We start from the raw sequence: 13,026 nt of genomic DNA, 5'->3' as shown, positions 1-13,026 counted from the left end.
AAGCCCTTTTGCTATTCAGTGTTACAAGGAAGCTTGAGTTTCCTGTGGCTCAGGGGGACACTGCAGGAGGCAGCTGAGCTTGAGCTGTCCTGTTGTACCCAAAACAAGAAGGCCACCACAAGGTGGCAGTCCCAGCAACAGGAAATGGCAGGGCGTATTATTGCCAGCAAAAGCTGGGGTGGGACTCAGAAGACTGAGCTAGAGCTGATCTCTCACGTTAGAGAATTGGGCCAAAACCTAGGGAGGAACCCTTCCCTAACCCTGAATGGCCTATATAGAACCCACATATGTACTCCAAGAAGGAACCAGCCTGGGACGCCCACCATCAGTGAGCACCCCCACTGGGTCTATCTCAGCCAAAGAGGCAACAAGCAAGGGAAAGCTATCATCCAGAATGACGGCTTCATCCCTTTCCATCTTTCTTCCCCACTCAAAGGGAAGAGTGTCCCGAGAGAGGGGAGTAAGGAGAGAAAAAGCAGATCAAGCCTTCTCCCAACTCTAAGTCCCCATGGAGAAGCATGATCAGGGCTCTGCAGAGGTGGGAGGAGGTAAAGGGGAATCTATTGGATCTGAAATGGATTTTTAAAACTTCACTGGCTTTTTATAAATACTCAGAAGTGGATTTAAAAATTTATGAAACTCTGTGGGTACAGAGTAGAACTTCCCCACAAAATAAATAAATGTTTGCAGGGCTCAAGTTGGAAAAAATGTCCTTCTGCAGCAAAGGGTGTGGCCCTGGGGTCAGGGAAGCACAATGATGAACCAGGAGCATCTAGGAAGTGACCCGTGCCAAGGGTTTAAATTCCAGGACACTCTTTCCTTGGACTTCTGGAAAAGTAGAATGAAGCAGATAGGTTTAAATTCTTTCTCTAGGCTGGGCACAGTGGCTCACGCCTGTAATCCCAGAACTTTGAGAGGCCAAGGTGGGTGAATCACTTGAGGTCAGGAGTTCGAGACCAGCCTGACCAACATGGTGAAACCCCATCTCTACTGAAAATACAAAAATTAGCCAGGTGTGGTGGTGCACGCCTGTAGTCCCAGCTACTCGGGAGGCTGACACACGAGGATCACTTGAGCCCGGGAGGTGGAGGTTGCAGCAAGCTGAGATCATGCCACTGCACTCCAGCCTGGGTGATAGAGTGAGACTCAGTCTCAAAAAAAAAAAAAAAATTCTTTCTCTTATAGTTTCTCAAACACTGTAATAAAATTTGGTACAGCTTTAATATCAAGTTCGAAATGAGTAACAGGCTGGGTCATAAAATAAAAGAGAGAAAGGGCAGCTTCCCCATGTTCAACCTCCCTCCACCCAGTCCTCACTGCTCAGACTTTGCAGAGGTGGCAACAGTGCATCAGAAGGTGGCCTGTGCTCCAGGCCCCGACTAGAAGGAGAGTGAATAGGTACCTGCTTTAACTCAGTGTTATGGACTAAATGTTTATGTCCCTCCAGAAATCATATGTTGAAATTCTAACCTCCAATGCAATGGTATTTGGAGGAGGAGCCTTGATAGGTGATTGGGTCATGAAGGTGGATCCCTTATGTTGTAATTAGTGACCTTATAAAGGAGTCCCCAAAGAGTTCTCTCCTTCCTTCCTTCCTTCCATCCTTCCTTCCTTTCTTTCTCTCTTTTGTTGAGATGAAGTCTCACTCTGTTGCCCAGGCTGGAGTACAGTGGCATGATCTTGGCTCACCACAACCTCCACCTCCCGGGTTCAAACAATTCTCCTGCCTCAGCCTCCCAAGTAATTGGGATTACAGGCATACACCACCAGGCCCAGCAAATTTTTTGTATTTTTTAGTAGAGACGGGGTTTAACCAAGTTGGCTAGACTGGTCTTGAACTCCTGACCTCAAGTGATCCACCCGCCTCAGCCTCCCAAAGTGCTGGGATTACGGGTGTGAGCCACCGTGCCCGGCTCTTCTCTCTTTCTGAGGATACAAGAAGACGGCAGGCTGTGACCCGGAAGAGGGTCCTCATCAGCATCCGACCATGCTCACATCCTAATCTTGGAACTATGAGAAATAAATTTCTGTAATTTCTAAGCCACACAATCTATGGTACTTTGTTATAGCAGCCCAAACTGACTCAGACCCTCAGAAAAGGCTGATGGGGAAAAACCATCCTGGAAAGTAAATAGTCAAGAGGACCTTGTAAGAGCAGACATGAGAAAACTCCCCACCCCAGTAGATTCACTAGAGACGCAGCTCTCAACTCCTTGTACCAAGACCCATAGGAATGATACACTTTACATCATACCCCTATAAACATGTACATGTGTAATTGATTAAAGTTTCATAAAGTAATATTTACTCACTATGTGCAATGCACATTGATATTTCATATTCTGTTCTGTTTTTTAAATGCTGGCCACAACCCCACACAAATTGATTTCTAGACCTTAATAGTCTCTAATCAGCAGTGTAAACAACTCTCATTAGAGGGAGAGAACCCTTAAGAGGAAGGGGAAACCTTGGGTTTCACAGGCATGAACAGCAGTGTTTCTTCTCTCTGAGATATGCCTCCCATACCCACAGCCCCTTTTTTTTCATCATACTGGGATCCTATATTCCTGATTGCCTACTTTCCAGGTGAGTTATCTCCTCTGGAGTTCCCACCTCTCTACTGGATCTCTTATGTAACCACCTGATATGGTTTGGCTGTGTCCCCACCCAAATCTCATCTTGAATTGTAGCTCCCATAATTCCCATGTGTTGTGGGAGGGACCCGGTGAAAGAAAATTGAATCGGTTTCCCCCATACTGTTCTCAAGGTAGTGAATAAGTCTCACAAGATCTGACAGTTTCGTAAGGGGTTTCCCCCTTTCCTTGGCTCTCATTCTCTCTTGCCTGCTGCCATGTAAGATGTGCCTTTCACCTTCTGCCATGATTGTGAAGCCTCCCCAGCCTCATGGAACTGTGAGTCCATTAAACCTCTTCTTTCTTTATAAATTACCCACTCTCAGGTATGTTTTTATCAGCAGTTTGAAAACAGACTAATACACTATCCTCAATGCCTTTCTAATTCTACCCATTGTACATGGATTGGACTCCTCAATGCCAACTCCATTCATGAAATACTTTCCAAGCCCTTTCATACCCAGCATGTACAAATTGTCCCCAGCACCTTCTTAACAAGTATGTCTGAATAACAGAAAACTACAATAATAATGCATGTCAGAATTATATGATGTAAAGATGTGTCTGTCACTGCTACCAGCTCTATCTATACCTCTTTCTCTGTAATCCTTATAACCATCTGACACATTAGGTCACATAGCTATTTAGCGGTGGACTTGAGCTTCGAATCCAGGTGTTCTTGGGAAACTTGCAGATCATAGAGAAGCATGAACACAAAGAATAAGTGTGGCCTTCCAGTGGTGGGGGCAGGGTGTCATGAGACACAGAGCAGTGGTAGGTCTTATGCAGAGCCTCTTTAGGGTTTTACACCACTGGTAGAAGAATCTGTCTCTAGACCGAAGAGTTCAAACCGAGAGACTTCTTGCTTTCTCACAAAGACAGGCTTCTGGCCATTTAGCTGCTGGGCTTTTCATCAGCCTTGAGGAATGAGAGACCTTTGTGGAGCTCTTGTTTCTAGGCGTGAGAGCAGGGGAGAGGCTGAAAAGCATCTGACATTCCTGGCGTCCCATTCTCTAGACAAGAGGGGACACTCATAAGGGCCTAAATACCTGTCCAAAGGCTTCAGTCACAATCCCTACTCTGTAAGGAAAATCTTGGCATCATTTCATCCCATACAACTAAGAAGAAAGATATATATCATGATAGCATATGGATGTGTTAACCATCTTCCCCCATTTTCACGTTTTAAGAATTTTAGGGCCGTGCATGGTGGCTCACGCCTGTAATCCCAGCACTTTGGGAGGCTAAGGCTGGCAGATCACAAGGTCAGGAGATCGAAACCATCCTGGCCAACATGGTGAAACCCCCGTCTCTACTAAAATACAAAAAATGAGCCAGGCGAGGTGGTGTGCGCTTGTAGTCCCAGCTACTCGGGAGGCTGAGACAAGGGAATTGCTTGAACCCAGGAGGCAAAGGTTGCAGTGAGCCAAGATCATGCCACTGCACTCCAGCCTGGCGACAGAGCAAGACTCTGTCTCCAAAAAAAAAAAAAAAAATTTTAGGTCTGGGGTGAGTTGGAGTATTGCTGAGGAGAACCTTTCTCAAGGGCAGGGCTCTCGGAGATCATGTTCTCATGGGTCCCCGGGACCGGTCCTCAGGCTCGCTAGTTTAAGGTGAGTGGAGTGGTCTCTAGGAGCAGAGCATGATAACAACGCTAGGTCACTCATTTACAACGGACTGTAATAAACTACCTTTTTCCTTCCACCAGGGGGCACCATTCACATAGACTTCAACAGCAGTGGCATCAACAGGCCTACAAAGTGGTGGTGGTAAAAAACACACTTGAGACCATCATATGTATCTGAAATCAGATACGATACCTGAAAAACATAAATCAAATTAATGCTCATATGGTTGCTTGCTGTCCAAGGAATTCAAAGCAAAGGTGGAAACTGACCCTTACATCACTTCTTCCTTCTAGATGAATAGCATCAGCTACATTTTCTTTCCCATTATGTAATGTTTCTATTCTGACCACCCACCTGTGATGGACATAGTCTTTTTAGATGTGTTAGTTTTAATATTAGTCAAGACTTAGTCTCAACCGTTCTCTATTAAGTGACTTTGCAGATATCTGATGTCATCTCCATTAATGCAGATTTTCATGTCAGATTCAGCTCTGAGTTCACCTTAATGCGGTGGTGGTTCCCATAGTGTAGTGCCCAGGCCCCCGCATCAACATCACTTGGGAACTTGTTAGAAAGGCAAGTTCCTGGTTCCCAACTCAGACCTACCTACCAAGTCAGAAATCTAAGTGTGGGGCCTGCAATCTGTGTTTTTACAAGCCTAACAGGGGATACTAATGCATGCTAAAGTTTGAGAACCACTGACTTAATATACAGTTTCCAACCCGGATGACACTAGAAACAACTACGGGACTTTACAAAAATATGGGTGTCCTGGCTTCCCCCAGAGCCACTAGGGTAGTGGAAACAAATGTCACTATCAAATGGATCTGGGTTTGAATTCTGGTTTTGTCACTCACCAGCTATGTGCCTTGTGGAGGCTCCATCTTCTCATCTGTAAAGTAAAAGTCATCGGACCTGCCTTGTAGGAAGGTGTAGGAGGGGAAGGTTCAGCAAATGCCTCATAGAGAGATTGACTCATAGTACATCTTCTTCCTTGGCCTCCACCGCAACTAGAATCTTATTCACCCGGCCTGTGAGGGTACAGTTCTCACCTTGCCCCAGAATCACCAGGTGAGAATGATTTGCTAGACCCGCTTTCTGAAGTTTCACAAATGGACAAACATTTTCACAGCTGTTACTGGGATTTTGCCATAAATCAGCAGGAACACACCCGAGATCTGACAAAGCTATTTCAAACTCTAGATCAATGAGGAGGGAAGTTGCTATGAAGCCGGGTTTGCCAACTGAGAGCATTGTAATTGTTCGAGTTGCTCTTGGGATCTAGCTCAGATTCCTGCTGACACCAGAGAAGTGAAGAATGAAAATAGTTGCCTAGAAAATCAGAAGCAGCTCCCCAAGTTACCTGCCACATACAGGTTTGTTTTTCCTTAATTATCTAGGTAATTGCTTTGCTTCCTCTACCTGCCTTTACCAAGAGATGCCTGGCCAGAAGAGCGAGGAATTAAAGTACCTGTGGAGGCTGCCCACCGAGTGAAGCTGCAGGCTGCCCATCCCATCGCAGTAGCTCCTTAGTTGTCAGTAGGTTGTTTCTATGAATGCCCCCTCCATCAGAAACCAATGAGGTTTTTCCAATTAATCTAAATCCCTGCTCTTGTGGAACTGGTGCGGAGACAGTGGTTAAATGCTAAATTGTCAGCCCAAAGTCAAATCCTTTTATTTAAAAACATAATATGCAGAATGGCTTCCTAAAACAAAAATTGGGAAAATTGTTAACATAGAGACTTCCAGGTTTTGCCAAGGGTACAACTGTTTTCTTAAACACAGTTTTTAACAATTACGTACAAATCAAACCAAAGTTCATCCAACCCACTCTCTGAATTAGTCTCAGTACAATGCGCATAGACAGCTATCACTAGAGTTAGTGAATATTATGGGAAAAATTAGAGGCAAAAGTTGAGACTGGAGCCGGTGAGAGTTAACAAAAACACTATTTATATAGAGAAAAATACATTTTAGAGAAGTATAAACATACTGCTTGGCATCAACATAAAAGCCCAAGTGCAAGTCAAAGGTAACCCAAAAGGCTCATAGGTCCTCAGACTACAGAAACCCCCCTACTGATGGCAACAGAAGGTCTGGCCTTCCACATGCTACTTCCTTAGTGTTTGTGGGGGAAAAAAAAATCCCACTGTATAAATTAGAATAGGCCAGATCATGCTACAGTAACAAATAACCCCAAAGTCTCAGTAGCTTACAACCACAAAGGTTTACCTCTTTCCCACTGTATTCAGGGTTTTCCAGAGAAACAGAACCAATAAGGGATTTAATAGAGAGAGAGGGGATGAGGGGGAGAGATAGTGATATGGTTTGGCTCTGTGTCCCCACCCAAATCCCACCAGGAACTGTAATCCCCATAATCCCCATGTGTCAAGGTCAGGACCAGGTGGAGGTAATTGGATCATGGGTGCAGTTCCCCCAAGCTGTTCTTGTGATAGTGAGTTCTCACGATATCTCATGGTTTTATAAGCATCTGGCATTTCCCCAGCTTGCACTCTATCCTGCCACCCTTGTGAAGAAGGTGCCTGCTTCTCCTTTACCTTGCGCCATGATTGTAAGTTACCTGTGGCCTCCCCAGCAATACACAACTGTGAGTCAATTAAACCGCTTTTCTTTATAAATTACCTAGTCTCGGGTATTTCTCCATAGCAGTGTGAGAATGGACTAACACAGATGGACTAATTATGAGGAATTAGCTCGCTTGATTATGAAGGCTAAGAAGTCCCATGCTCTGCCATCTGCAAGCTGCAGACCCAGGAAAGCTGGTAGTGTAGTTTGGTTTCGGACCCAAGGCCTGAGAACCAGTGGAGCTGATGGTTTAAGTCTCAGTTTGAGGGCAGAAGGAGACTGATATCCCAGCTCAATCAGTCAGGCAGAGGAGGTGAATTCTCCTTTCTCCATCTTTTGTTCTGTTCAGGCTCTCAGCAAATTGGCTAATACACTTCCATTCAGGGAAGGGCAATCTATCTTATGGAGTCCACTGACTCAAATGCAAATCTCATCTGGAAACATCATCACACAAACCCAGAAAAGCTTAGTGAAATATCTGGCCACTCCATGATCCAGTCAAGTTGACACATAAAATTAACCATCACACTCACATAACATGTTGAATGAAAGTTGCCTCTGGCTTTGACGCCCTCCCCAAACTTGTAGGTTCCAGGATGATGGAGCAGCAACCAGCTGGAATATTATCAGGTCCAGGGTGAGAGAAGGGAGACATGGAGAACAGTACACTGGTTCCCAGAAATGATAAATGTTTTTGCTGCTCCCATTTCATCGGCCACAGCAAAGCGAATGGCCTCTCTTGAGTCTGGCAGAGTTGAAGAGTAAACTCCTTCCATGGCAAAAGACGGAGGAAAAGTAAAATATTTGGCAAACAGAAATACAGTCTACCATACCGATGGAATTCTTATGCAGTCCACACTTAACTTATTCTGGACCTCTGCTCTGAGACTTCCCCGCAGATCTCTACTGAATATCTTCTTATCACTTTTTCACACAAGTCAGGCTCTTGTTTTATGCAAGGAGAGTTACAGGCTCCTCCCTTAATTTCCAAAAGTACAGCAAATATCTGGATAAACATTTAAGACAATTTCCTGTTGGCTTGAGAATAATGAGGAGAATTATAATGGAGAAAAAGAAAAATACTGTACTGGATATGAACTATCACTGCTCCTGGAGTTCTGTCCATCAGCCATGCCTCTCCACCGGCGTCCTCTCTACGTGGCCTCCCCTAGTCCATCAATTACCATGAGCCACCAGTCCCCTGGGTACCTTCTCCAACCCCCCTTATCCTCACTGCAAGAAGGGCGTTATCCACCACATCCTCACCCACAGGCAACAGCATCATAACCCTAAAAAGATGCAATTCTGCACATGACAAATTCAGCCTTTGATAATTCTATTCAGAAATGTTTAGGATGTCTGGCTCGAGCTTCTTGAGTCTAGAATAGAATTTTGCCTTTGCATAAATAAAGGTCCCAGTGAAGAATAATTTTAATCAAAGATGATGCATGTCTCCTAGCGGAACAAGAGAAAATTACAGGTAGATTTGAAATGTTTTTTTCTACTGCACACAAAAAGAAAATGGTTGTGCTGCGTACAAAAAGAAAATTATATACCTAGTCTGGATGTCCCTGTAATTTTGCATTTTGTTTTGCTTTTTCACGTACTACGTCATAAATGGATTTTGAAATTTTATAGAATGTTCTTAATTAACATAAAGACTACATAATATTCCATCCTGATAAACTAACATAATTTGTTAACACATTCTCTTAATTTAGACATGTCCCTTTAATTTATTATTATCACAGTTGTCATAAATTGTGTAATGTATATGAGCATTTGCTTTTGTTATATTATTTTATTGAGGTAAATTCCTAGGGATAAAATTAATGGGCTAAAAGTATGGATGCTATTGCTTTGTGCCAACTGTTTTATATCTTTCCTAATTTACACTAATTATGTGTAATTTTTACTGCAAATTCAGTAACACTTTTATTTGAAACTTATGTGGTTCAGTTTAACTTAATAAACTAATAACCTGTGATATATAGGTGATAATGTTTATTTTCAATATGAAAGATTTTATCCCCCTAAAAATCAACCTAAAAAAGCTTTGCATTGGGATAGGGACAGCAACTTTTGATATAAAAACCATCTGATCTAGAAAAAACAGTATAGATGGGTCATAACCCTTTGGTTGCAAGTACCAGAAATGCAGTTTATACTAATTAATGCAAGAAAGAAGAGTTTGGAGGGATTGTGGAGTAGCCTACCTCCTAGTAAAACAAAAACAAAACAAAACAAAACAAAACAAAAAGTTGATTAACCAAACCTCCCAAGTGCAGCAATCTAAGCACAGCCAAAACTGTTATTAATAACTAGAAAATGATTGGGACCTTCTCCCATCCTGTCTTCCATTGCATCTCTCTGGATCTTGACTGTCTTCTCCTACCAGAGACAGATGTCTGATGTGGGGCTCACTCCTAGCAGCTCCACGCCTAGAGAAGAAAGGGGCTGTGGTATTGAAAGACTAGTCCAGTTCTTCACCCTTCCATGTATCCACACCCTTGGCATGGCCTCCTAGCGGGTGGTGTATGCCTGTGCCTTGAGTTTGTGCTTGTTTGTTTGACTTACTTTGGCTAATGGCATAAGAGTATAAGTCATAACATGACCCTTCACAGCCTAGGTCTATGTGACCTTGCAGGTTCTCACTTGCTCTCTTGTGGAATATTCCCCAACTAGTCTGCTAAAAGGTTAAAGACTGACTTAAACTGTTTTGACGTTGCTACAAAAAAAAAAAAATGCCTGCAGCTGGGCAGTTTATACAGAAAAAAAATTTATTTGGGTCACAGTTCTGCAAGTTGTACAGGCACGGCACTGGTATCTATCTGATTTTGGTGAGGGCTTCAGGCTGCTTCCACTCATGGTGGAAGGTAAAGGGGAGCCACGTGGTGAAAGAGGAAGCAAGAGACAGAAAGAGGAGGAGGTGCCAGGCTCTTTTCAAAACCCAGCTCTCATGAGAACTCACTCATCCCCACAAGAATGGCACCAAGCCATTTATGAGGGATCCTCCCTCAGGACCCAAACACCTCCCACCAGGCCCTGCCTCCAACATTGAAGATCAAATCTCAACATGATACTTGGAGGGCTCAAATATCCAAACCATAGCAAAGACATAGGCAACAGATGTGCAAACATGCAGTGTGGACTAGAGACATCCTTAAATCAAACCACCCACTGCCAGCCTAAAGACACATGAGCAGGCCTGCTGAGATCAGTGGAGCCCACTCATCAGACCTGAAGAGATGTGAAGTAAATAAGTGCTCACTGTTTTAAGTGACTCTGATTTTATGGTTCTTTGTTATGCAGCAGTAGCTGACTAATACAGGGGGCACCTCTCTTCTAGCTCTAGTTTGAAAAGTCTCGAGAAAGAATACTCTGGCCCAGTTCGTAACAAAGGCCCGTATCTGTCCCCAAGCTGTCAGATAGCTAAAAAACAGAAATGATGCCTGCTGGATGTCAGAAAAAATAATAGCTTTCTAATCTGTAATACACTGTGGTTTTAAGAGCCAAATTTAAAATACTCCACACATCCATCTTTTTGAACTAAATAAAAAGTGAGTTTAGTTAATACAGTAAATAATAATAAAATGACATGGAATTTAAATCTATAGGTGGTAAGAGAGTGAAAAGAAAGAAGACACAGGAAAAGAAGAACAAATGAAAAGCAATATTTGCCAAAACTCTGAGAAGCAGCAATATTTCTTTAGACTAAAAAAAATTTAAAAGCATACTTTCTAATAAACATATTTTAACATTTATCCAAGTAAGAAAACAATAGGATTTTTAGAAATATCATTTTACCCCAACTGAGAAAAACACCAACTGTTTTCCCAGGAAGTAACGAGTATTGTCTCTCAACTCACAGGTAGAAATGTTGCATTCAGTGTCTTTTTATTGCCATCTGGTTACCAGCATCAGCTTCCAGGCAAAGGATTAGAATAAACTACGATTTAGTGCCAAATGCAGAGGGCTCAGGCAAACTGAGCCAGCGGAAGATATAGAAGGCAATGAGCTAGAAAAGTGAGGCAGAGGAGAAAAAACAAAACAAAACAAAAAAAAACACAGCAGGCTCAGAACAAGGATTTAAAAATCACAGCCAGAGAGAGTACAAACAGGACAGCGTCACCTCTATTCTGGTTCCAAGGGTCTTGAAACAAAGCCGGGAGTAATCTTCAGCTAGCAACACAGAACACAACAGGGCAGAGAGCCCTGGCATATCCGACAGCAGCTTCCAATGTTTGCTCCAGAGGAATCGATACAAAATCAGTGCAGAAAACAACAAGAAGAGGATCCATGGGACTGAGTTTGCAGGAGGGAAAGAGATGCCAGCTCCTGCCTTGGGAAGGGGCACAACAGAAAAACCCACGCACCAAAGAGAGGCAGGCAGAAAGAGGCTAGGCTAGGAGCCTGGCCTCCCTGGGAAGGACATTGTAGGGATTGATCTATTTCAGTTACAAAGTAGCCAAAAACTGTTTTTTTTTTAAGAGACAGGGTCTCGCTCTGTCACCCAAGCTGGAGTGCAGTGGTGCAATCATAGCTCACTGCCGCCTTCAACTCCTAGGCTCAAGCAATTCTCCTGCCTCAGCCTCCTAAAGTTCTTGGATTATAGGTATGAGCCACCGTGCCCAGCCTATTTCCAAATATCATTATTTGGCAAGGATTGTTCTATTGATATACTGTCCCAGTGGCCTCTCCTTGGTCCCATAATGAACTGAAAACAGCCTGCAGGTGATGAAGTACTTGGGAGAAACAGCTGGGATGTGGCTGGAACAAAGTTAAGACTGAAATTTAGGGGCCCTTTAGGATTCTGCTGCTGAAGACTTTAGAAATAATGTTACATCTTTGTAACTAGGGGCATATGTTGATCCAACTTTTGATATTTGCAGCAGGAAATTGGGTTAAGAGCTGAATGGTCTCCCTTGCCTAAGCATTTATAACATCTATACAGTAGTGTTCCCCCTTGCTATGAATTAATACGAACAATGGGGGCAATGTTATTATACTTATGACAAGTTTCAATTTACAAATAGGCAGTACACCAGAAGTATGCTTTTAGGTAGGCTGAACTCAAAAGAACGTATTAGTTTAGAAATAAAGATATGCATAGTAGATTAAGTTTTCAGGGTAGACCACAAACCTCTAGTTAAAAGCCATACAGTGGTAGAAATAGTTTAGGTTTTTAATGCCAACTGGTATACATTTTTAGCATTGGACAATCACAAATGGACTTAAGAACATTGCTGTGAGTTAGCTGAGAATGTTAACGATCATTTGGCCTGGTTTTCATTAGAAAATGTAATTCAAATTGCTGTGGCAATGGTTGTGGATGCTTGAAGAAGCTTTGTTTTTGTTTTTGATAGTTGTTGCACTGTCAACCAGAAACATATCTCTATCTCCCCCTTTCTTTACTTCCATCTCCAGTGTAGCATTTAGAATTCTTTGGGTAGCAAGGGAAAGAAAATCCAACCCAAACCAATTCTATAAAGCAAATACATGGGCTCATGTAACAAACTGCACAGGTGCTTCAGGCAAAGCTTGATCCAGAGGCATAAGCACAAGCCCTGGCTCTCTCAGATCTCTGCTCTCTTATTCCTCAAGGTCCACCTAGTGACTTCGCAAAAGGTACTGGCCCTTCTCTCATGAGCACAGCTGCCAGCCTTATATGTTTATATCACACTCAGAATGCCGTCTATCAGTAGGTCCCTGGAGAAGGCAAGAGTTTTTTGTTTTTTGGTTTTTTTCTCAGTAACCCCGGACAATCTCTCCTCACAGCTTTACGGGATTTTAGTACCCATTCTGTACCTATGACTACGGTCAGAGAGACGGGATTGCCTGAATGATTTAATTGTACAGGACTGGGGCTATCAGATATGACTGTGCAGGTTGTGCACTGCACAACTTCAAGTTCACTATACACATTTATGACAATGCAGATGTGTAGTGGTCCGTTCTCATGCTGCTATGAAGAAATACTCGAGATTGGGTAATTTATAAAGCAAAGAGATTTAATTGACTTACAGTTCTGCATGGCTAGGGAGGCCTCGGGAAACTTACAATCATGGTGGAAGGCACCTCTTCTCAGGGCAGCAGGAGAGAGAATGAGTGCAGCAGGGGAAATGCCAGACGCTTATAAAACAATCAGATCTCCTGAGAACTCACTCACTATCACGAGA

The 13,026-nt window shown here is 43.1% G+C and overlaps 1 long non-coding RNA gene across 1 annotated transcript; it reads right to left on the bottom strand.

The window, feature by feature from the left end:
• Positions 1-2,907: 2,907 nt before the first annotated feature.
• On the bottom strand, positions 2,908-4,387 carry BACH1-IT2 (BACH1 intronic transcript 2). Its single transcript, NR_046564.2, has 2 exons — positions 4,325-4,387; positions 2,908-3,646 (listed from the first exon to the last, which is right to left on the bottom strand). It is a non-coding gene; the product is annotated as a BACH1 intronic transcript 2 (long non-coding RNA).

Source organism: Homo sapiens, chromosome 21 (genome assembly GCF_000001405.40).
Source record: "Homo sapiens chromosome 21, GRCh38.p14 Primary Assembly".
In the NCBI taxonomy this organism is placed as follows: domain Eukaryota; kingdom Metazoa; phylum Chordata; class Mammalia; order Primates; family Hominidae; genus Homo; species Homo sapiens.
Note: the sequence above shows the minus strand (reverse complement) of the source record. Positions and strands in the feature narration are given on the sequence as shown.